This window comes from Homo sapiens, chromosome 8 (genome assembly GCF_000001405.40).
Source record: "Homo sapiens chromosome 8, GRCh38.p14 Primary Assembly".
Taxonomy (NCBI): domain Eukaryota; kingdom Metazoa; phylum Chordata; class Mammalia; order Primates; family Hominidae; genus Homo; species Homo sapiens.
Window position 1 is genome coordinate 18,580,209 of NC_000008.11, and position 24,405 is coordinate 18,604,613.

The 24,405-nt window shown below is 38.7% G+C and overlaps 1 protein-coding gene across 23 annotated transcripts in view; it reads right to left on the reverse strand.

Annotated features, from left to right (window-relative positions):
- The window catches only part of PSD3 (pleckstrin and Sec7 domain containing 3), a 557,503-nt gene that overhangs the window by 52,906 nt on the left and 480,192 nt on the right, over positions 1 to 24,405 (reverse strand). For all 23 annotated transcript variants that reach the window (NM_001412865.1, NM_001412866.1, NM_001412872.1 and 20 more), the window contains one exon: positions 20,156 to 20,226. In NM_001412865.1, the coding sequence (NP_001399794.1) occupies positions 20,156 to 20,226 (71 nt within the window). The remainder of the gene's footprint in view (positions 1 to 20,155; positions 20,227 to 24,405) is intronic.

Below are 24,405 nucleotides of genomic sequence, written 5' to 3' on the forward strand. Positions count from 1 at the left end.
TGAGCTCACAAGAAAGCAGGATGAGTGACAGGAGACCAGGCCAGAGATGGACCTGCTCCGGGTGCCACAGTCTTGGGCACATCAGCTCCAGACTGATTGCTGTCATCACAGTCTGGGAGGCCTTGAATCCTCAGTGGCTTCCTTCTGTGCCTGAACCAAGCCCTCCCCTGATGCGACCCAGTAAACTTTTACAAAACCTACTGGTTTTGTAAAAACCAAAAAGTTTAATTCCAATTAAACTTTTACAAAACCTATTGGTTGAGCCTAGGAGGTCAAAGCTGCAGTGAACTGTGATCGCACCACTGTGTTCCAGCCTGGGTGAAACAGTGAGAATCTGTGTCAAAAAACAAACAAAAAAACAAGCCCCCAAAACAAAACACAAACAAACAAAAACCCCTTATAGGCAGGTGGAACAAAATCTCTCTTCCGAGTAAGCCAGAGAATAAAGATGATTCTGCACCAAGGACACAGTTCCTGATCTGTGATAGTAAATGTACGTTTTAGATAACGAACTGATTTTTCACTTCTAAAGACAGGGTAAAGGTAAATAAATTCAGGTTTGAACAGCTGCTTTCTAGACCCTAAAGATAAAATCACATAGAGATTCTTGAGAGCCTGATCTGCAGACTACAATAATCAAGAGGTGAACTCTAAGTAATTCACTGCCATGCACTAACGAGCCACCTACACCCGTCGCTCTTAACCATTCCATCAATCATCTCTAGGGCAGTTCAGTTTTGTAACAACCAGAACTGGAACAAGAATAACATCACAAGCCTTACAAAAATACTTTCAAGAGAGAAGCAGAGACTGGCAGGGACAGACACAAAGCCCATGACAGAAACTGAGAGAGAAACTCTGAAGCTTTGTGATAGCAAAGGCTTGTCAAAGCACTTGGCTAGCGGATGACTCACTCTGTAACGAAGTGGATATGAAGTTACTACCCAAATGTCAACCATGATGGATCATCAGAACCAACAGGAATGGAATCATTTTAATGTCAATTAAAATGCACATTCAATTCATAGCACTTTCTAATTTTTAAAGCACATATGAACTATTAGTATTATATTAAAATAATATTTGTCTTTTCTTCCATGAACGCTTCACATTCCCATAGTAATAATTAACTACCAATAGGGCACACATTTTTTAGGTACTCTTGGGCTCAGGGGCACTGCAAGTACTAGAAAAAACACAGATAGGAGTGTGCTCTTACTTAGCTATAAAACAGACAGAAACACTGTACCATAAAAGTCCTATTATGCCAGATCATGACTGATACCTGGACTCTGGAACAGTTTTGAAATGTGCAAATATTTAAATCAGCCCCTATGCTGGTGTTGTATATCACAAGCTCTATCTCAGAGAGTTATAGCAAGTAGAAAGAAGTGTTCACCCGAATTTATTCCATTCACCCTGTGTTTTCTCCAACCTTCACCTATACACTTGGTTTACATCATGTTAACTGGTGCTTTTTCACCAGGTGATTTTAAGAGTCCACTAGCCATTCATTGCATAATACTGGTCTTCTCATCCACACTGTCAGGACAAGTGTTTTCAGGGACCAGACGCTATGTTTATTTCTCACATAGCTCCCAACATGACATTTTGTAAAGGGATCTGACATTACTATCGTGATACTCCGTGGATTTACTCTTTGCTTGAAAGTGAAAGGCATATGTGACTAAGTAACATTAAGGAAGTGGCCAGAAAGGAAAATGAGGCAAATGGTGATGAGGCAGATTGTGTGTAACTCAGAGAAGCAAAACAAGAGCTCTGGATAATGTAAGAAACTGTCTGGGGGAAAGGAACAAAGATAAGGACTTACTTTACTTTAGAGTTCAATCAACAACAGGAAAGAAACAAGATTCAATGGAAATGAGACAGACACCGGGGACTTATTATTTTCAAAAGTCACAGGAAGGGGAATATGAGAAAAAGAGGAGTGGAGTGGATCAAACTGGAAACTTCTGGGTGAGCTTCTCGAGAGTAGTTGTCTATGTCCTCTCTGCCTCTGCATCCTCAACTCTCCAATCTGCCTTCCACGCTCACCACTGCACTGAAACTGCTTTATCGATAATTTCCTACTTGCTGAATTGACGTGGCACTCTCCAATTCCCTATCTTACCTTTTCATGACAGGACACATTTCAAACATCTCTTAACATCTCTGGTACCAGTTTTCTCTCTGGCTTAGTTTTCTTCCTAGCTGTCTGGCCACATTGCACAGGCTCCTCCTCCTTTCTCTTCCTCCTAGGGCACATATGAGTATATGGTCCACTGGCTCTGTCCTCCATCTTCTCCTCACTCTTGGAGTGACATCATCTACTTGCATGGCTTAAATTACCAATTTTTTGTTAATGACTGTTCAGATCTGCATTTCTGGCCCCTTCATTGGCTCCAGATCAAAGTATGCATAATTGCTTACTGGACACATCCATTTATTATTCCACACACTCTGAATTCAACACCTCAAACTAAACTCTCCAAGTAGAGCTATGTTTCCCCCTCCATCTTACCCCTGCCCTTGTTCAAGTTAATCTGGTCTCTGTGTCTTTGATAGAACCTGTTTCCAAGTCATTCTCCAACCTGCAGCCACACTGATCTTTTTTTTTTTTTTTTTTTTTTTTTTTGAGACAGAGTCTCGCTCTGTCACCCAGGCTGGAGTGCAGTGGCAAGATCTCGGCTCACTGCAACCTCCACCTCCTGGGTTCAAGCAATTCTCCTGCCTCAGACTCCTGAGTAGCTAGGATTTTACAGGCACGTGCCACCACGCCTGGCTAATTTTTGCATTTTTAGTAGAGATGGGGTTTCACCATGTTGGTCAGGCTGGTCTTGAACTCCTGACCTCATGATCCACCCGCCTCAGCCTCCCAAAGTGTTGGGATTACAGGCGTGAGCCACCGCATCTGACCCAGATTGATCTTTTTAAAATACAAATATAAATGCTGTGCATGGTGGCTCACACCTATAATCCCTGCACTTTGGGAGGTCAAGGCAGGAGGATCGCTTAAGTTGAGGAATTCAAGACCAGCCTGGGTAACGAAGTGAGATCCCGTTTCTACAAATAATAGAAAAATTAGTCAGGTGTGGTGGTGGTCCCAGCTACTCAGGGGGCTGAAGTTGGAGGACTGCTTGATCCTGGTTGGGGTCAAGGCTGCAGTGAGCTGAGACACCGCCATTGCACTCCAGTTTGGGTAACAGAGTGAGACCTAGTTTCAAAAAAATAAGTAAAATAATCAGGTCACTCCCCATTTAAAACATGTGATAGCTCCAACTGCTCTAAGATAAAGTCTCAACTCTTTAACATGGTTCTCTAGGCTCTTCTGCCTCAAACACCACTGAACCTGCAGTTCCCCAAACACGCTGTATCACATCTAAGTATCCATACACGTTTGTCTCTGAGTTCCCTTATATGACTAGCTTCCATTTGTGTTTTTAAGTGTGGGGTTAGATATCACTTTCTTCATGAACTCTTTCATGAGCTTCCCTTCTCTTGCTCAGGTTAAGTGCCCTTCCATATGTGTTTCCATAGCACCCTCCTCTCTTTGTAGCATTTCTCAAATTGCACTGAATTGGCCTTTTGTTTGTTAATTTCTTCAGAATGAAGAAGAAAGCTCCTTTGGGCACCGTATCTTGCTCACAATCATATCTCTAGTATACAACATTCTAGAAGACGGGCAAAGTCCTAATCTTATATATGCACTCATTATTGACTTGCTTCCTAGGTAAATTTATGGCCCTCTGTATCAGAAAGGTAGTTTACTAGCCAAAGTTCAGCTGATACTGGATACTTAAGCCATATTTTAAGTGTCAATCTGAGAGATATAAAATAGGATGCCAACAGTTCCACATACTTCATGGTTTCTGGGAACAATAGACCTGAAAAAGGTCTATGTTAGAAAATCTCAAAGTTTATGTACTCAACTAATAGAAGATACGAGACATTTTCCAGTGAAAGAGTGGAAAGTCTCATATCCCAGTGAAAGAGTGGCTGGAGCCAGGCAAGTGCAATCAGAGAAAGGGCAAAGCCATCATTCTTTATTCAAGTCAGAGGCTGAAGGAAAGTTAATGCACAGTTGCTGTGCAGTGGCCAAGTTAGTTGAAGCTGGGTGAAGTCATAACAGTTAGAGACCTCTCCCCACAACAGCATTTTAAACTTCCAGTAATTACAAGGCTCTCACACTAGAGTGTTCATATTTACTTAAGAAGACACTAATGGGAAAAATATTAGCTTGGCTAGTACCATCTTTACAATACTGAGTAGGTTAATCAACTTTAGAACGCCAGCTTTTCAATTTAAAAAATGGGAACAGTATCCTTCTATGAGATTGTGAAGCTCAGATGGAAGAAGTAACCTACAACCTATTATACTAACAAACCAGTCTCATTTCTGGCTAAATGGCCAATGAAGCAAGCTGGCTCAGGCAATCTGCCAAGCCGTTTCCTACATTTGTGATGTATAATGCTCTGATCTGGGAGTGGTTATTCTTTTAGATATGAAATATACAGAAATGCTCTGCAGGGCTATGTGGGCTTTCTTTAATACGGGAATACTGCTCTTAAATGTCTCTTCAAAAAGGTGGGGGGCTCCTTGTGCTTATTTGTTTCATGTTTTTGCTACATGGAACGGGTATGTAGAGCCTATGGCTTATTTTTTCATAAAGGGACTATCTAAATATCCAGGGTTGAGGTGGTGAGAGGGAGAGGGAGCGGAGGCATGTGTCTGATCTTTGGTAAAATTTCTCTAACTAGAAGACAAGTATGTAGAAGTCATGTCATATATATAATTAATGTCTATGGGAATGAGGAATGGGGTGATATGGTATTTTTGACCTGTGTTTATGCCACATCGCTAGCTCCAGAACACGAAGCCCTCTGCCTTGCCTGGCACTAGTGCTAGGAGGATTTATGGAGGCATTTGTCTCCTATCTGAAGTGGAAACAAAGGTAGAAGAAATTACTTATTTTTCAATAAAGGTACCAGGGAAAGTAAGGGCCTTTATTTGGATGGTTGAGAAGGCCTAACTCTTAATCATTTCATACACAGACTGCTGTAGGAAGATTGTGAAAAGGGAGGAAAATAAGGTCTGAATAAAGCCAGTCACTTTATTTTTATTTTATTTTTGAGACAGGCTCTCACTGTCACGCAGGCTAGAGTGCAATGACCCAATCTTGACTCACTATAACCTCTGCCTCCTGGGCTCAATCAATCCTCCTGCCTCAGCGTCCTGAGTAGCTAGGACCACAGGCAAGTACCACTATGTCTGGCTAATTTTTGTATTTTTTGTAGAGATGGGGTTTTGACATGTTGCCCAGGCTGGTCTTGAACCCTTGGGCTTAAGCAATCTACCCACCTCAGCCTCCCAAAGTGCTGGGATTACAGGTGTGAGCCACTGTGCCCAACCACACCAGACACTTTATTCCTTATGAGATGACTAATAATCAAGAAAGGACTAAAAGAAAAAATACTCTCATTTCTTATAAGAGTCGTCAGGAAGGGAACCAATATTTACTATTAACCTACTGTGCAACAGGTGTTTTCATGTATTTAATCATTTCTTTATATCAACCATGCAACATCATTTCCCCTCATTTTACACAGAAATGAGTTGAGGTTCGCAGAGGATAATTAACTGCTCCAAATCAGCAATTAGTTAAGTGACAGACTTGGAGTTTGACAAGGCATGTCTACTTACTGGAGTATGACTCTTCGTAACTCTTCAAGGTGTGACTCTTCTTTTGGAAGAGCCTTTTAATGCTCTTCCAAGAGATATATTTTCCTAGGGGGATCTGAGGAAGCTGGGGAGAGCGATCCCCAGCCTAACAAAGCTCTTACTTTAATACCTAAGAGGCTGCCGACACTGTGCCCATGTGTTCAGGAGGCATGCAACATATGGGAGCATAAACACAGGGCGGCCACAACCTTAAGAGGCATGAGATATTATTTATTAATGCTTCAACTTCCTGTAGGAGTGGCCAAAAACCTTTGCAACAAGCCACTTTGGCTGGGATGGGAGTAGTGAAAGAGGTTGAGCGAATGGAGACTGTGAGGACTTGGCACTCGCTCCTGTGTAATTTCAGCTGTGCCTAGTTTTCCTTCTGATGACTATTGTGACTTTTTTGTTTATTTGTTTTTCGGAGGGGGAAAGCCTTTACTATTACTCTCCATTTGTAATGAAGAAATGCGAATTGAATTATTCTTGAATTGTTCTATATGGGTAAAAATCATTATACGCTATTACGTAGTTGAGAAGTCTTGATGAAAGGCTTAAAGTAACTGATGAGCAACTAATAATGAAATGAGACCCTAAACAGATTGTTATTCCAGTGGGTGGGGCAGGGGGTGGTTTGTGTATGTGTGTGGTATATATGTGTTTACAATGAAGGGAAGGTGGTCTTCAAAGCCAGCCATTATGGACTTCCGGAATGGCTGGAATTGCCAGCCATTATGAATTCTTTCGAAGACCAATTTGATTCATTTAATCAGGGAAGCAGTGGCCCTGTTTCCTTCTGTCTCAGGCAGTACTACCCCCCTCATTTATCCCCAAGGCCGAGACGTTGGCAGCCGCAAGGGGGAAAATGGAGGGCACTCAGGAGGGAAGTTAACTGGAAGCCCTTGGACAGGATTCCTTGATGCTGAGAAATGTATATGGGGTAGAAAGGTGTGGAGAAAGAGAGAATGGATGTAGAGCCTGAGTGTGCTAGTGAGGCCCTTAAGGATAGACGCCGGATCCTGGGATCTTTGCATCCCCATCTCTGGCAAAGCCCCTGTTACACAGGAGGCCAAATGAGTGAGCTTTTGTCAAACTGAATGACACTAACTTTGGGCCAGGGCTTTTTTCTCCTCTCCTCACCCAAATAGTGGGGGATTGGCTGAAGAAGGGAAGAAGAAGGAGAGACATTTCTGCTATACTGGAATCCTAGGAGTGTAAATACTGGCATCCTAAGAGCACAGAGCGGAGAACAACATGGCACTCCCAGGTCACATGCCCCACACAGGTCCTGTGAGGAGGGCTGCTTAGCATGGGGGACACTATGCCACCTAAGTCCTTTGAGTACCTGAGTATAGGTGGCAGCGGCAATGACCTCTCACTCAAAGAGCTTGAAATTCCTTGAGGGAAGAAAACAGTTCTTTCGTAAATGGGACACTTTATGACATTGTGATACCATCTCTTTAATTTTCGTGATACCTTCATCATTTGAAACATAATTTTTTTCATCATCTTTCTACTGCTTGCTACTCCCCCTCCAGCCTATAATGCAAATGTAAAAAGTAGTTTGCCACTCTTTGAATATGCCATATTCTCTCATATCTGCTATTTTCACCCTTCTCTTGCTAAAATGCTTTTTCTCGCCTGCCTGCCTGGCAAACTCCTGCTTATCTTTCAGGCATCAGTTCAAGTCATGTTAATTCCTCAGGGAGGCATCTTCTGACCTTTGCAAGTATGCTTAGGGGGCCTTCTTCAGTAAGATTTTTCCACGCCTCTATTAATTCATCTCATTGCTTAGTGAATGCTCAATTTATCTGTTTTCCTCCTATTTTGTGAGCTCTGTGTAGGCAGGGATTGTATCTTAGTTGTCTTTGGAAGCTTAGAATTTTGCACAGTACCTGATGTGATAAATAGCTTTGGGAGGATATAAAACCCAAACTGTATAAACCCCAAACCACCTTGTAATCATATAATTTACTTTTTGTGTAGCATCTGCTATCACATGCTGGTAGATTAGGCTTCCAACCAGGGGGACGGATTAACCAGCAGTGGGACATTAGTAACTCCCTGTAGGATGCACACATCACCAGGATTAGCCCTTAACACATGCTACAACCTGGCCAAGGGGAAGAAGTTTAACTATCTACTACTCCTGTTTCTGCTGGATGGCTCGATACCCCAAAGAACGCTATGATGCAAAAGTCTGCTCAGCAGCAGGCAGTATCCTATTAACCTAAGAGGGAGTGGCATTTCCAGATGTAGATGCCCATAAGGTCTTCCTTCTTGTACAGTCTACCTACCTTTTTAGTTTTTAGTTTTACAGATTAAGAAGAAACTACAGAACCAGGTAGAAACCACACAATCAGGTAGATATAGCCATACAAGACACAGAACTATGAAGTTTAAGCTTCCATTGATTGAGGAATTAGTCTCTAGGATCTGTGCAAGGTTTCCAGGAACATATATTAGTTCTGATTTTTTAAAAAAGAGCATTAAGAAGAGAGTGGAGACTGGTTATTAAACATGGCCACCCTTTTGCAGGCTTATTCTCATTGTAAGTAGATAGTTTACAGCTATGCTAGCATTCTTATGATTTAACTGAAATAGCAACCCGAACAATAACCCATGATTCTACTATTCACTCTTCATAAATGTATAATTTCCTTACTGCCAGGCTTTTCTCTTTATAAAAGCAATTTCACCCAACTTTGCCCAAATGCACATTTGCCACACTCCAGAGCTATCATAAATCCGGAGAAGCAACCTTCTTGGAGCTCTAATCCAAGCTGATGCTGAAGCTTCAAAGTTTACAAAGTTGTTCCCTTGTCAATACTAACCCATTCTCCATCTTGATGACTCAAACTCCCAATACATTTATCTGAGGGAGAGGACAGTGATGTAGGAAAAGCTGGTACCTTTGAAACAGCATCTTTCTTGGCATCACTCCTCTCAAATGTTGAATGTGAGAATAGTGTTCTCTTCCCAGGCCCACCCTGAGATGGAGTGGGTGGAAATCCGGTGGCTAGGTATTCAGAGAAACGGTTTTGCCAAAGGCAGCTATGCCCCTTAACACAGATTTTAGACAAAATAAAGAAGTGACCCAAGAGAGTGGAATTTATGCTGGGGAAATGGCTGTGATATGTGAAATTTAATTTCAAAGGGTTCTTCCTTGCAGAGACAAAGGTAGCTAAAAGGACCAGTGTGGGCCCAGCATGTACACACATGCTGATCTGGCAGAGGCCAGAGTAGCTGACTTATAAACTAGAAGCTTATAGGACTCCACAGGAAAACAAGCTTATAGACTCCATAGGAAAATAAAGACAGTATGAGATAGCCAGCCACCTAAGAGCATGGATAATCTCCAAGTATCAACAACTGCCTCCATTTCTCCCTTGTCATGACCCTCAAAGTAATGTGAGAATTTTAGAAGGATGCGGCAAATCATTTACTTTGTGATCTTTGGGTTTCAGCTAACTCCATATCTCTTTCTACAAAGCCTATTTTCCCAAAAAGAGATCATGGTCTAAGGTGAAGCATTCCATGCTCCAATATTCCTTACCTGATGTATTCCAAAAGGAAGATGACAAAAGGGTTTGTGTTAGATATGGTCCTTCCTAATTTGGACACTTGAAAACAGTTCAGATAAAAAATAAAACAAAAAATAATTATAAAAATGTTGTTTACAAAGCTGCTCTGGTAATATGTAAAATGTTAATGAAAGATATGGGTTTCCAGTGGCAGGGTCTGGAGAAGGGGTGGCAGGCACCAGATCCAGCCATCAAAGTGGCAAGAAGCAGCCCTGAAATGAGCCAAGGAGATGGGCGAGGAGGCGAGGGCTTCTAAGCAGAAACAAAAAGAAAAGACAAAGAAACTCTGGAGCTGAAAGCAAAGGCTGTGGGCAAGGGTCCCCTGCCCAAAAGGTTGATTTAAGAAATCTGTCCACAAGTAAGTTGTTCTTTGCGTCTGAGGTGATGGTGATCCTTGCCTTCCGTTCTTACTTAAACATCTGTATTCCCTGCCATAACATATTTTGCCACCTACAGCTAAAATGAAGTGCTGTCTTGGAATCTGTTGAACATTTAAAAATAAACTTTTGTAAAAAAACAAAAACAAGCAAAGAAAACAACAACAACAACAATAAAAAAGCAAAAAAGATACAGTATAGTTGAAATATAAAGTCCTTTAAATAAAGATCTGGGTGGACAAAGGAAGGCTAGTTTTAAAAAAGAATAATTCTTTCAATCTCATATATGGCATTATTATAATATTTTGAAAAATTTAAAATAACAATAAATCAAATGTATTCCTTCCCAGTCTCCATTCCAAAGCAGTTGATCATCTCAGTGGTGCAAGCGTGCATACCATGAGGGGTCGCCATCTGATTCAGTACTGCGGATAGTAAATCAAACGGGAGGCCTCTTTGCCAGAGAAACACAGGTGTGGAAAGGCAACTACAGCAGTGTGTAAAGAGTGGAAGGACATGTGTTCGTGGACAAACACCAAAAACAAGAAGTTCAAAATGAATCCTTTCAGATCCTTTCCTCTGAATACCCATATGTCAATAATACACTGAAAACAGACATGTTGTCACAAACTTCTGTAAGGAATGACATTAGGTATAATCTTTCTGGAGGTAATTTAGAAATATGTTTTCAGAACTGTAAACAGTTCCTACCATGTGCCCCATGACACCCCTAGGAATCTTAAGAAAATAAAAGAGATATGTGCATGTGTGTGTGTGCAGTGTTATTTTATAAATGAAAAACTAAAAAAGAGTATGTCTGAAAGTGGGGGAAAAGTTAAATTATGATAAATCTATTTAACAAAAAATACTACATGCATTTAAAAATGAATATGTTTATAAATGATCTAGGGACAGAAGAAACAAAACCATAATTACATATCATTTCACAGTCACCAAATACCAGATTGATGAAAACCAAAAATGTTTCTAAAAAACTTTTAATAAGAAACTGTTTATGATAACATACAGAGTGAAAAGAATAAGACGCCAAAACTGTGTTATACTATGATTCCACATAGATTTAAACAGTCTCTTCCTGGGAGTGCTGTTAGCAAGACAGCAGAATAGGTAGTCCCAGCTCCCATCTCCCCAATAAAAATATTGAGTAATCAATGATTTATGGACCAAAATACCTACTAAGACAATACCAAAATCCAGTGAAGAGGTTGTAGTACCCCAGGAGAGCACAAAGCCAAGAAACCCACGCTGAAACAGGTAAGAAGAGTGATTTCATCTTACCCACATCAACCCCTCCCTGAAGCTAGCATGCCTCAGCACCAGAAGAGAATGCCCTGGCCCCTGACATCTCTGATGGGGGAAAGGAAAGAGGTCTTTGCTATTCTGGCTTTTCAGAGGGCTGCCTGGGTAATGGCTTAATCTTGGTTCAATTGGAATACTGAGGGAACTGCAATAGTGTGGATACCTGGGCACTGCTAAGAACAAAGGAAAGTGGTGGGTGGTTCGCTGCAGTCAGCACAGCTTGATGCAATTGGGAGAAAAGGTGGTCAACCTGAAGCTTCTACTTTGGGAGGGCTGAAGAAAGGTAGAGTGTGTGGCCCTCATTTCAGCTCTTCTTGGCCCCAAGGGACTAATTTCTTTCTCACCTCACTCACAGCACTAACAGAACTAGCATAGCTTGGAAGCCTGAAGGACACTTAGAACAGAGTAGAGAGACAGGTGGCTTGCTGTGGCTGGCACACTTAGTGTACTTGATTTCTCCCTTGGGAGGGAGAGAGAGAGGAGCAGAGTATGCATCCAGCATTCTGGCTTTTTGGAGGGCTATCTGAGGGAGTGGTATCTGACTCTCCTGATTCAGGGAACTGATGGCATACACTTGGTGGCTGCTTAGAACAGGGGACAGCTGGGTAGCTTCCTGCTCTAAAATCAGATAACTTGCAGTGTTGCAGACAGACATCAAAGGGTGCAAGGATTATGGGCTCCTGAAAAAGGATTCAGAGTTCCCTAAAATCTGTTGCAAAGATGACTGGTGAGGGGCTTCTGCTGTAGCAAGCCAGTCTCTATACTGGAAGAGGTGGCTGATTCTTCAAATGTGCAGATCCCAATACAGCTACAAGAGACAGAACAAACAGGAAAACATGGTTCAATGGAACAAAATGAATTTCCAGAAATTGACCGTAAAGAAACAAAGGTATAAGAATTACCTGCATAAACACTGTAAAGATGCTCAACAAGCTAAAAAAAGATGAATAAACAAAATGAGAATATCAACAAAGAGAAAATATTTAAGGGAACTAAATAGATATTTTCAAGCTGAAGAATATAGTAACTGAAATGAAAAATTCAGATGAGAGGCTCAAGAGCAGAAAACAAAGAAGAAAGAATGAGCAAACTTGAAAACGGGCCATTTGAAATTATCCACTCAGAGAACAAAGATAAATAAGAATGAAAAAGAGTTAAGAGAGCCTTATACACATCATTATGCAGACCAACACATTATGGAAATCCAAGAAAGAGCAGAAAGAAGAAAGAGGGCACAAAGCTTATTTACCGAACACTTCTGAAATCTGAGGAAGGAAACAGACATCCAGATTCGAGAAGCCTAATGACAACCAGGATTAATGGAAATAAATTACACTGGGACCAATGACCAAATTATAAAAAGTCAAAGAAAAACAGAGGACTTTGAAAGTAGCAAAAGAAAAGTGATTGGTCTGTGTATTTCTCAGCATAAATGATCCAGGGCCAGAAGTGACTGTGATGATATGTTCAAGGTGCTCAAAAAAACAAACAAACAAACAAACAAACAAAAACACTTGCCACACAAGCATATTACATCCAGCAAAACTACCCTTTAAAAATGAAAGATATATAGACCAATGGAACAGAACAGAGCCCTCAGAAATAACACCACCCATCTACAACTATCTGATCTTTGACAAACCTGACAAGAACAAGAAATGGGGAAAGGATTCCCTATTTAACAAATGGTGCTGGGAAAACTGGCTAGCCATATGTAGAAAGCTGAAACTGGATCCCTTCCTTACACCTTATACAAAAATTAATTCAAGATGGATTAAAGACTTACATGTTAGACCTAAAACCGTAACAACCCTAGAAGAAAACCTAGGCAATACCATTCAGGACATAGGCACGGGCAAGGACTTCATGTCTAAAACACCAAAAGCAATGGCAATAAAAGCCAAAATTGACAAATGGGATCTAATTAAACTAAAGAGCTTCTGCACAGCAAAAGAAACTACCATCAGAGTGAACACGCAACCTACAGAATGGGAGAAAATTTTTCCAATCTACTCATCTGACAAAGGGCTAATATCCAGAGTCTACAATGAACTCAAACAAATTTACAAGAAATAAACAAACAACCCCATCAAAGAGTGGGTGAAGGATATGAACAGACACTTCTCAAAAGAAGACATTTATGCAGCCAACAGACACATGAAAAAATGCTCATCATCACTGGCCATCACAGAAATGCAAATCAAAACCACAATGAGATATCATCTCACACCAGTTAGAACGGCGATCGTTAAAAAGTCAGGAAACAACAGGTGCTGGAGAGGATGTGGAGAAATAGGAACACTTTTACACTGTTGGTGGGACTGTAAACTAGTTCAACCATTGTGGAAGACAGTGTGGTGATTCCTCAGGGATCTAGAACTAGAAATACCATTTGACCCAGCCATCCCATTACTGGGTATATACCCAAAGGATTATAAATCATGCTGCTATAAAGACACATGCTCACGTACGTTTATTGCAGCACTACTCACAATAGCAAAGACTTGGAACGAACCCAAATGTCCATCAGTGATAGACTGGATTAAGAAAATGTGGCACATATACACCATGGAACACTATGCAGCCCTAAAAAAGGATGAGTTCATGTCCTTTGTAGGGACATGGATGAAGCTGGAAACCATCATTCTCAGCAAACTATCACAAGGACAAAAAACCAAACACCGCATGCTCTCAGTCATAGGTGGGAATTGAACAATGAGAACACTTGGACACAGGAAGGGGAACATCACACACCGGGGCCTGTTGTGGGGCGGGGGGAGGGGGGAGGGATAGCATTAAGAGACATACCTAATGCAAATGACGAGTTAATGGGTGCAGCACACCAACATGGCACATGTATACATATATAACAAACCTGCACGTTGTGCATATGTACCCTAGAACTTAAAGTATAATAATATATATTATATATATATTATATAATATATATTATTATATACATATTATATAATATATATTATTATATACATATTATATAATATATATTATTATATATATTATATAATATATATTATTATATATATTATATAATATATATTATTATATATATTATATAATATATATTATATATAATAATATATATTATTATATATAATATATATTATAATATATAATATATATTCTATATATTATATAATATATAAATAATATAATACATTATATATAATATATTATATAATATATAAATAATATACATTATATATAATATATTATATTATTTATATATTATATTATATATATACAAAAGAAAGAAAGATAATATTTTCTTAGGTAAACGAAAGTTGAGAGAGTTCATCACTGCTGGACTTGCCTTACAAGAAAGGCTAAAGGGAGTTCAACTTGAAATGAAAGAATGCTAAACAGAAACAAGAAAGTATAAAGCTCAATAGCAAAAGTAAACAGAGACAGGACTTGGTATCCGTGGGAGATTTGTTCTAGGACCCCTGATGGACACCAAAATCCATGGATGCTCAAGTCACTTACATAACATGACACAGTATTTGCATATATCATATGTATATCCTTCTGTACACGTTTTACATCATCTCTAGATTACTCATGATACCTAATAAAAGGCCTACACATCACTTCATTGGCATAGATTCAACATAGTACTCAGCATGTAGAAAATTCAAGTTTTGTTTTTTGAAACTTTGTGGAACTTTTTTTTTCTGAATATTTCAATCTCAGGTTGGTTGAATTCAAATGCAGCAATCACTGATATGCAGTGCTGAGCATATGTAGGAAAAATATACAATGCTTTAATGTTGTAATAGTGGTGTGTAAATGACTTTTAACTCTGGTATAGAAATTTTAAAAAAAGTATTAAAATACTTTACCTATAAATATACATTAGTGGGAACAGAATACAAAAGGATATAATTTGTGACGGAGTAAAAGTATAGTTTTGGCATATGACCTGAAATCATTATCAGCTTAAAATAGATCATTATAACTGTTTTATGTAAGCCCCATGGTAAGCAAACAAACAAACAAACAAAAAAAACCCTAAAAGATACCCAAAAGAAAATGAGAATAAAGAAATGTTATTACAAAAAAAAAAAAAAAGGAATACTAATAAGAGTGAAGTAAAAAAGTGACAAGACAGAAAATAAATAGCAAAATAGCAAGAGTGTTTCTCTATCGATAATTACTTTAAATATGAATGGATTAAACTCCCAATCACAGCTGGGAGTGTGGTTGAATGTATTGAGAGAGAGAGAGACAGAGAGACAGAGACAGACGGAGGGAGGGACAGATGCAGAGAGAGAGAGAAAAAAAAACCCAAGTATAAGCTGTCTACAAGAGACTCACTTTAGATTTAAAGACACACACACCTGAACATGAAATAATGGAAAAAATATTGCATGCAATTGGTAACAAAAAGAGCAGAGGGGTAGCCATACTTATATTATACAAAATAAGTAAAAAACTGTCAAGAGAGAAAGAATGACATATAATAATGAGTCAATTCACCACACAGTTGTAACCATTATTAGTACATATGCATCTATCATCAAGGCACGTAAATATATAGAGTAAACATTGACAGGACTGAAGGTAGAAATTAACAATAGTAGGAGATTTCCACTCCCCACTCTCTATAATGTACAGAACTTCTAGACAGAAGACTAATAAAGAAACAGAGAACTTCAAAAATGCAATACACCAAATATCCTAGCAAACATATACAGAACATTCCACTCAACAGCATGAGAATATATATTCTTCTCAAGTGCACATGGAACATTCTCTGGGATAGATAAAATTCTAAGTTACAAAACAAATCTTACCAAATTTAAGAAGACTGAAATAATACCAAATATATTGTCCAATCACAAAGAAAGGGAAGTAGAAATTAAAAGCAGAAGGAAAATGGAGAGTTCACAAATATGTGGAAATTAAGCAACATGATCCTGAACAATCAATGGGTCAAAAAAAAATCAAAAAGGAAATTGGACAATAATTTGAGACCAACAAAAATGGACAAACAATATGCCAAAACTTGTGGAAGGAAACAAAAGCAGTACCAATAGGCAAGTTTATGGTAATAAACACTTAACATTAGAAAAGAAGAAAGATTTAAATAAACAACCTGTTTTTACACCAGATAAAGTAATGCAAAGTTAGCACAGGAAAGAAACAATAAAGATTAGAGCAGAAATAAACGAAATAGAGAAATGAAAATCAAAGTCAGCACAGGAAAGACACAGTAAAGATTAGAGCAGAAATAAATGAAATAGAGAAATGAAAATCTAATCAAAGATTAGAGCAGAAATAAAAGAAATAGAGAAATGAAAAAATAAAACTAAAAATTTCTTTTCAAAAGATCAACAAAATTGACAATCCTTTAGCTGGACTAAGAAAAAAACAGAGAACACTCAAATAAATAAAATCAGAAATGAAACAGGAGGTATTGCAATTGATGCCACATAAACTAAAAGGATTCTAAGAAACTGTTATGAACAATTATACACCAACAAATTGGGAAACCTAGAAGAAAGGGATAAATTACTAGAAACCTACAATCTACCAAGATGAATTACGGAGAGGTAGAAAATCTGAATGGATCTGTAATAATAAGGGGATTGAATCTGTAATGAAAACCCTCCCAACAAAGGAAAGTTTAGGAGCAGATGGCTTCACCAGTGAATTCTACCTAACAGTTAAACAACTAATGCCAATCATTCTCAAACTGTTCCAAAAAATTGAAGAGGAGGGAACACTTCCAAACTCATTTTATGAGGCCAGCATGACCCTGATATCAAAACCAGAAAACAGTACTGCAAGAAAACTACTTGCCAACATCCATTATGAGCATAAATGCAAAAACTCTAAACATAATGCTGGCAAACTGAATTCAACAGTACATTAAAAGGATCTACAACTATCTGATCTTTGACAAACCTGAGAAAAACAAACAATGGGGAAAGGATTCCCTGTTTAATAAATGGTGCTGGGAAAACTGGCTAGCCATATGTAGAAAGCTGAAACTGGATCCCTTCCTTACACCTTATACAAAAATCAATTCAAGATGGATTAAAGATTTAAACGTTAAACCTAAAACCATAAAAACCCTAGAAGAAAACCTAGGCATTACCATTCAGGACATAGGCGTGGGCAAGGACTTCATGTCCAAAACACCAAAAGCAATGGCAACAAAAGACAAAATTGACAAATGGGATCTAATTAAACTAAAGAGCTTCTGCACAGCAAAAGAAACTACCATCAGAGTGAACAGGCAACCTACAACATGGGAGAAAATTTTTGCAACCTACTCATCTGACAAAGGGCTAATATCCAGAATCTACAATGAACTCAAACAAATTTACAAGAAAAAAACAAACAACCCCATCAAAAAGTGGGCGAAGGACATGAACAGACACTTCTCAAAAGAAGACATTTATGCAGCCAAAAAACACATGAAGAAATGCTCATCATCACTGGCCATCAGAGAAATGCAAATCAAAACCACTATGAGATATCATCTCACACCAGTTAGAATGGCAATCATTAAAAAGTCAGGAAACAACAGGTGCTGGAGAGGATGCGGAGAAATAGGAACACTTTTACACTGTTGGTGGGACTGTAAACTAGTTCAACCATTGTGGAAGTCAGTGTGGCGATTCCTCAGGGATCTAGAACTAGAAATACCATTTGACCCAGCCATCCCATTACTGGGTATATACCCAAATGAGTATAAATCATGCTGCTATAAAGACACATGCACACGTATGTTTATTGCGGCACTATTCACAATAGCAAAGACTTGGAACCAACCCAAATGTCCAACAATGATAGACTGGATTAAGAAAATGTGGCACATATACACCATGGAATACTATGCAGCCATAAAAAATGATGAGTTCATATCCTTTGTAGGGACATGGATGAAATTGGAAACCATCATTCTCAGTAAACTATCGCAAGAACAAAAAACCAAACACCGCATATTCTCACTCATAGGTGGGAATTGAACAATGAGATCACATGGACACAGGAAGGGGAATATCACACTCTGGGGACTGTGGTGGGGTCGGGGGAGGGGGGAGGGATAGCATTGGGAGATATACCTAATGCTAGATGACACATTATTGGGTGCAGCGCACCAGCATGGCACATGTATACATATGTAACTAACCTGCACAATGTGCACATGTACCCTAAAACTTAGAGTATAATAAAAAAAAAAAAAAAAAAAAAAAAAAAAGGATCATATACAATGACCAAGTGAGATTTATCCTTGGGATGTAAAGGTGGTTCAACATATGAAAATCAGTCAAAGTGATAAAACGCATTAACAGATCAAATGATAAAAATTACACAAACATCTCAATGATGCAGGAAAGCGATGATATTAATATCCTTTCATGATTTGAAAAACCCTCAAAACAGATACAGTTTCAAATGATCTTATATGTAGAAAACCCAAAGATTCCCCAAAAACCTATTAGAATAAATAAATTCAGCAAAGTTGCAGGATACAAAATCAACCATCAGTTCCATTTCTATATGCTAACAATGAACAATCTGAAAAGGAAATGAATAATACCATTTACAACAGCATCAAAAACTATTAAAAAATACTTAAGAATAAACATGATCAAGAAGGCAAAAGACATATACACTGAAAACTATAAAACACTGCTGAAAGAAATTAAAGAAGACACAAATAAATGAAAAGACATTCCATCTTCAGGGATTCAGGATTCAAAGATTTAACATTATTAAAATGTCCATACTGCCCACAGCGACCTACATATTCAATAAAATCCCTGTGAATATCCCAGTGGAATTTTTTACAGAAAAAGAAAAAAAAATTCCAAAATTTATATGTAATCATAAAAGACTCTGAATCTCTGAATAAGCCATAAATCATACTGAAAAAGAAGAACAAAGCTGTAGGCCTCACATTCCTGATTTCAAAACATATTACCAAGCTACAACATCAAATCAATATGGTTCTGGCATAAAGACAGACACATGCATAGACCAACAGAATGGAACACAGAGCTCAGACAAATTCAACACATATATGGGGGGAAGCTGGAACCCTTATGTACTGTTGTTCAGGTATAAAATGGTACATTGCTTTGGAAAACCATATGGAGTTTCTTCAAAAAACTGAAAACAGAACCATATGACCCCACAGTCCCACTTCTGGGTATTTATCCACAAGAAATGAAATTAGGATCTTGAAGAGATATTTGCACCCCATGTTCATTGCGGCATTACTCACAAAAGGTGGAAACGACCTAAGTGTCCACTGAACGATGAATAAAGAATATGTGCTACAGTAGGCTCCCCTTATCTATCCATGTGGGATGTATTCTAAGACCCCCAGTGGACGCCTGAAATTTTGAATAGTACGAGACCCTATATATAGATGACCCTTAAAGAGAATGGGCTTGAACTGTACAGATCCACTAATATGCAGACTGTTTTCCATCAAATGAGGACTAATAATATGGCACTTGTGGGGCGTGAAACCCGAGTATGCAGAAGCCAACTTTTCTTATATGTGGATTCAACAGGGCTGACTGCAGGACTTGAGTATGTGGGGACTTTGGTATTTAAGGGGCGTCCTGGAGCCAATCTGTTGTGTGCATGGAGGGATGACGGTATACTATGTTTTCTCCTATACATACATACCTAACATAAAATTTAATTTATAAATTAGTCACAGTAAGAGATTAACCATAATAACTAATAATAAAATAGAACAATGATAACAATATGCCACCATCACTGTTCTCTGGGGCTAGTAAGTAAAATAAGGGTCACTTGAACACAAACACTGCGATAGCTGGACAGCTGATGTCATCACAGAGATGTCTATTAAGTGATTAAAGGATGGGCATATATAGGATGGCTATGCTGGACAAAGGGATGATTCACAGCTGGTCAGGATGCAGCAGGATTGAGAAAGATTTCATTACGCTACTGAGAACAGCATGCAACTTAAAACTTAAAATCGTTTATTTCTGGAATTCTCCGCTGAAAATTTTTTAACATCAGCAAACAAACTGCAGAAAGTGAAACCACAGATAAGGGAGACTACCGTACATACATATACTGGACCTCATGTAATTATTTCATCGAGTTTTGTGGATTTTTTATCTGCTTTACTTTTACCTTTTGCAAGTAAAGAACTGTTCCCTTCAGTACAGCATAAAAGGTTTTCCATCCTCGTTTTCCTCTTGGAGCTAGAAAGGGGGAAAAAATGTAAAATTTTATTTGACATCAGCATTTTAGAAAGAGAATCTAAATGATCAACATGGTGACAGTGTTTCAATATTCTACCTAGCTACCGAAAGTAATAACAATAAGAACTAAAATTTTCTGAGCCTTATGGTGTACCAGGCGGCATTCTAAAATGTTTTCCATATACGATCTTAATATTTACAATGCTCCTACCAGGTTGGTGCTATTTCTCTCTTCTTACAAAACTGAAACACAAGGCAATAACTTGCTAATGGTCCCACAACTAGGAAGAGTAGAAGGCTGAAAAACCAGGTAGCATGGCTGACAACAGACTGGGTAAGCACAGGAAGCATACTGGAAATACATAGCAATCCAAGAGAAAGCTTAAAGAGCTCATGTACCAGAGCCTTTATAGCTTCTTCAGAGACTCTAGAAATCACGAAGTAGTCTCAGAATATGAAAGGACCACTTTTGGCATTTCTCCCATACCCCCCTCAACCAGAGTGCAAGTTTAAATGTTATTACTCCTATTGCAACCTGTGCATATCTCTACTGAGGATCTTGCTGTAATGTACTATTTTCGTCTAAATGTCTCTTTCACTAGACTATGTATGACTTGACAGGAGGTATCCTTCATCTTTAGAATTCACCAAATCGAGTATACTGCAAGACAGACATTAAACACAATCATACAAATTATCCAAAATAATTAATTATTTCAGAAGTCCTTAGATTTCTTCTGTTTATATTTTTCTGGATATGAATTCTCTACTGACTTGTATAAACTCTTACAAATTGTTCTAAAGCAAAAAGCAATAGATTAGCAAAACAGTTTAGGATTTATTATCTTAATACAATTAAAATCTATAACTGGAAAATGTTATTGCTTGAATATCATTTTTCTAAACATGTCTGCTGAAATAGACAGGGAGAGCCATTTACTCATGCTCTTGTATCAAACATGTGGCTGTCTGTGGTCTGTCTTTAACCTGGATACCTGATTACATTAGAAAGTACATTATTGTCAACCAAATCCTTTAAATCTCTTTTGACTGAATACTCAAGAATTCTTAGACTTGGAACTAGGTGAATAGCCACTTACAGAACACAGGCAATCCTGCCAACACCATGCTGAGATATCCACCTGGCAAGAAAGGATTCAAAATATCCACCCTGCAGGTTTCCAAGGGAGATAATAAATATCATCCCTTCTGCCTCCACTAGGTGAGGCTTAAAGGTATACTAAAAATACATATAACCAAAAAAAAGCATACCATTATTTCCGTTATAAAGCAAAAAAGCAACTAAGATAAACAGATAACCATACATCACATATAAAATAAATATTCACTACATTGTTCAATAGATGTGAAATTCTGATACTGCCAACATGAGCACTGCGCACACAGAAGAGACCAGGGCTGAGAGGGCTGCTGCAGAGCAGGGCCTCAGGTGGCACAGTGTGCAGGAGGCACCTGACTTGAAAGCAGACCAGCTGGTTTCCAGCCCCTTCACAATCTCACCTGGTCTGAAAACTATCCTCCCACCCACCAGCCCCTAACAAGTCACTCTACTGCTGTACTTTTGCTTCATTTTAAAATGTGGGTAATTCCTAGAACTGAAGGCAAAGCATTGGCTAATGCTGGAATGGAACCTGGAGAAAATATTTTTGTTTTTAACAGAAGAGCCATAGGTCCTGAAGTACAAAGGCTTTCCCCGAGCCCTAAAACTAATTTATTGGCATCTTGCGATCCCTTTAGTTCAAAAATCTACACATCTACGTTTCTACTTTCGCAGTAGATCAATTAATCCAAGTACATGTTTACAAAATTTTAAACAGCTCTTTCTCATTACTACACTAAGCCTACTACAAAGAGATTCCAAAGAGCTCTCCAAGCGAAATGTGATTTTAAAAGTCACCCATGAGTGACTAATGCCCACTAAGTCAGTTACTTAGTAACTGACTTACTTATTGTACTCACTTACTGCAGTCTACTTTTCTATTTCCCACAGAAGTATAAAACTTAACCTTATCTTTGGCCAGTTACAATTTAGTAATCTAACACATGGATGAAACAACCTATAATCCTCCCAAAAAGATAACTAGGGAGCAATTATTCAACGGTATTTAGTTGGTGTGCTATAAAAGCACTGCTCTAAGTGCTCTGACACTTATTAATCCATTTAACTCACACCGTAATGCTAAGAGTAAGGTACTATTGATACTTCCATCTTACGTGAGACAGATGGGTGCAATCAAGCAGAATTCAGGGGAAGAAGGGACTACTGTGCACTAAAGTGGGCTGGGAAGGCTCTCTAGAGCAGGTGCAACTGCTCTGATTTGACAACCACACATACAGTGCCGCTGTTGCCACTGGACCCTTGGTGAGGCTCTTCAAGCAAAACACAATGAGCTGGATGCTAATGAATGACAAGCACTGGTCCTCATCATGAGGACTGTAGAAGGAGTTAAAGTGATTTCACAGCACGTGTGTTTTATTAAACACACAGAGGTCCGTAAAGAGTTGTAACTTCACATAATGAACTTGATGAGAGGAAGAGTGAAAAGATTACTGACAGGAAACCTAATGCAGCAACTGACAGGCTTTAACTACAAGGGCTGTGGGGAATCAATAGGCTGACATCCTTTAATATCCAGGTATCTTCCGTGAGAAAGTGTTTACTGAGTTTGATTAAAAGACACCATTTTACATGTGAGCCCATCTTTTCACTGCAGTTTTTACTGTGCATACTTAAGGTCCAAAGACAATCAATTGCTTTCCTTCTTGAAAATACAAGAAGCTTTTAGGGTTTTGATTCCAACAATCTGCCTCTAACCTTACTTTGGCTTTTCTTTTTTTTAATGCTATTGAAACAGGCATCATTGTTTTTCTATAACATGCTACTGTCAGTTTAATGTTTACTTTTATCTTTATTGATCACTTCTTTCTGTACCTCAGATTGCTTTTTGGAGGCCATTTTCAATTACTTCTTGAAGTCTATCCTTTAGAAGTTCCTTTAGTGAGGAGGGTCTTTTGGTGGCCAATCTTCTATTTTTGTTTGTATAATAAATGTCCTTATTTCATTAAAAATTCCAAGTTGATAACTGCTTTTTCTTATGAAGACATTATTTCACTATCTTTTGGCTAACACCATTGTTGCAATGTTGATAGTGTTTAGATCTGTGTGCCCACCCAAATCTCATGTTCAGCTACAATCCCCAGTGTTGGAGGTGTAGCCTGGTGGGAGGTGATTGGGTCATGTGGGTGGTTTCTCATGAATGGTTTAGCACCATCCGCTTCTCGTGACACTGAGTAAGTGAATGCTCGTGAGATCTGGTTGTTTAAAAGTGTGTAGCACCTCGCCCAGTTTGCTTGCTCCTTCTCTGGCCATTTGAAGCCCTGTTCCCCCTTCACTTTCAGCTATGACTGTAAGTTTCCTGAGGCCTTCCCAGAAGCTGAACAGATGCCAACATCATGCTTCCTGTACAGCCTGCAGACCCGTGAGCCAATTAAACCTCTTTTCTTATAAATTACCCAGTCTCAGGTTTTCTTTATAGCAGTATGAAAATGGACCAATACAGAAAATTGGTACTGTCAAGTGGGGCATTGCTTATAAAGATACCTGAAAATGTGAAAGCTACTTTTGAACTGGATAAAAATCAGAGGTTGGAAGAGGGTGGAGGGCTCAGAATAATACAGGAAGATGACTGAAAGTTTGGAAATTCCCAGAGACTGGATGAATGGTTATGACCAAAATGCTGGCAGTGATATGGACAGCAAAGGCAAGGCTAACAAGGACACAGATGGAAATGAGGAACTTACTGGGAACTGGAGTACAAGTCACTTTTGTTATGCCTTACCAAAGAACATGGCTTGCACTGTGCCTTTGCCCTAGGGATCTGTGTAACTTTGAACTTGAGAGTGATGATTTAGGGTATCTGGCAGAAGAAATTTCTAAGCAGGAAAAGTGCTCAAGATGTGGTCTGGCTGTTTCTAACATCCTATGCTCATATGTGTGAGCAAAGAAATGACCTAAAACTGGAAGTTAAATTTAAAAGAGAAGCCGAGCATAAATGTTTGAAAAATTTGCAGCCTGGCCACGTGATAGAAAAAAAAAAGGCCTATTTTCAGAAGAGGAATTCAAACAGACTGCAGAAATTTGCATAAATTAAAAAGAAG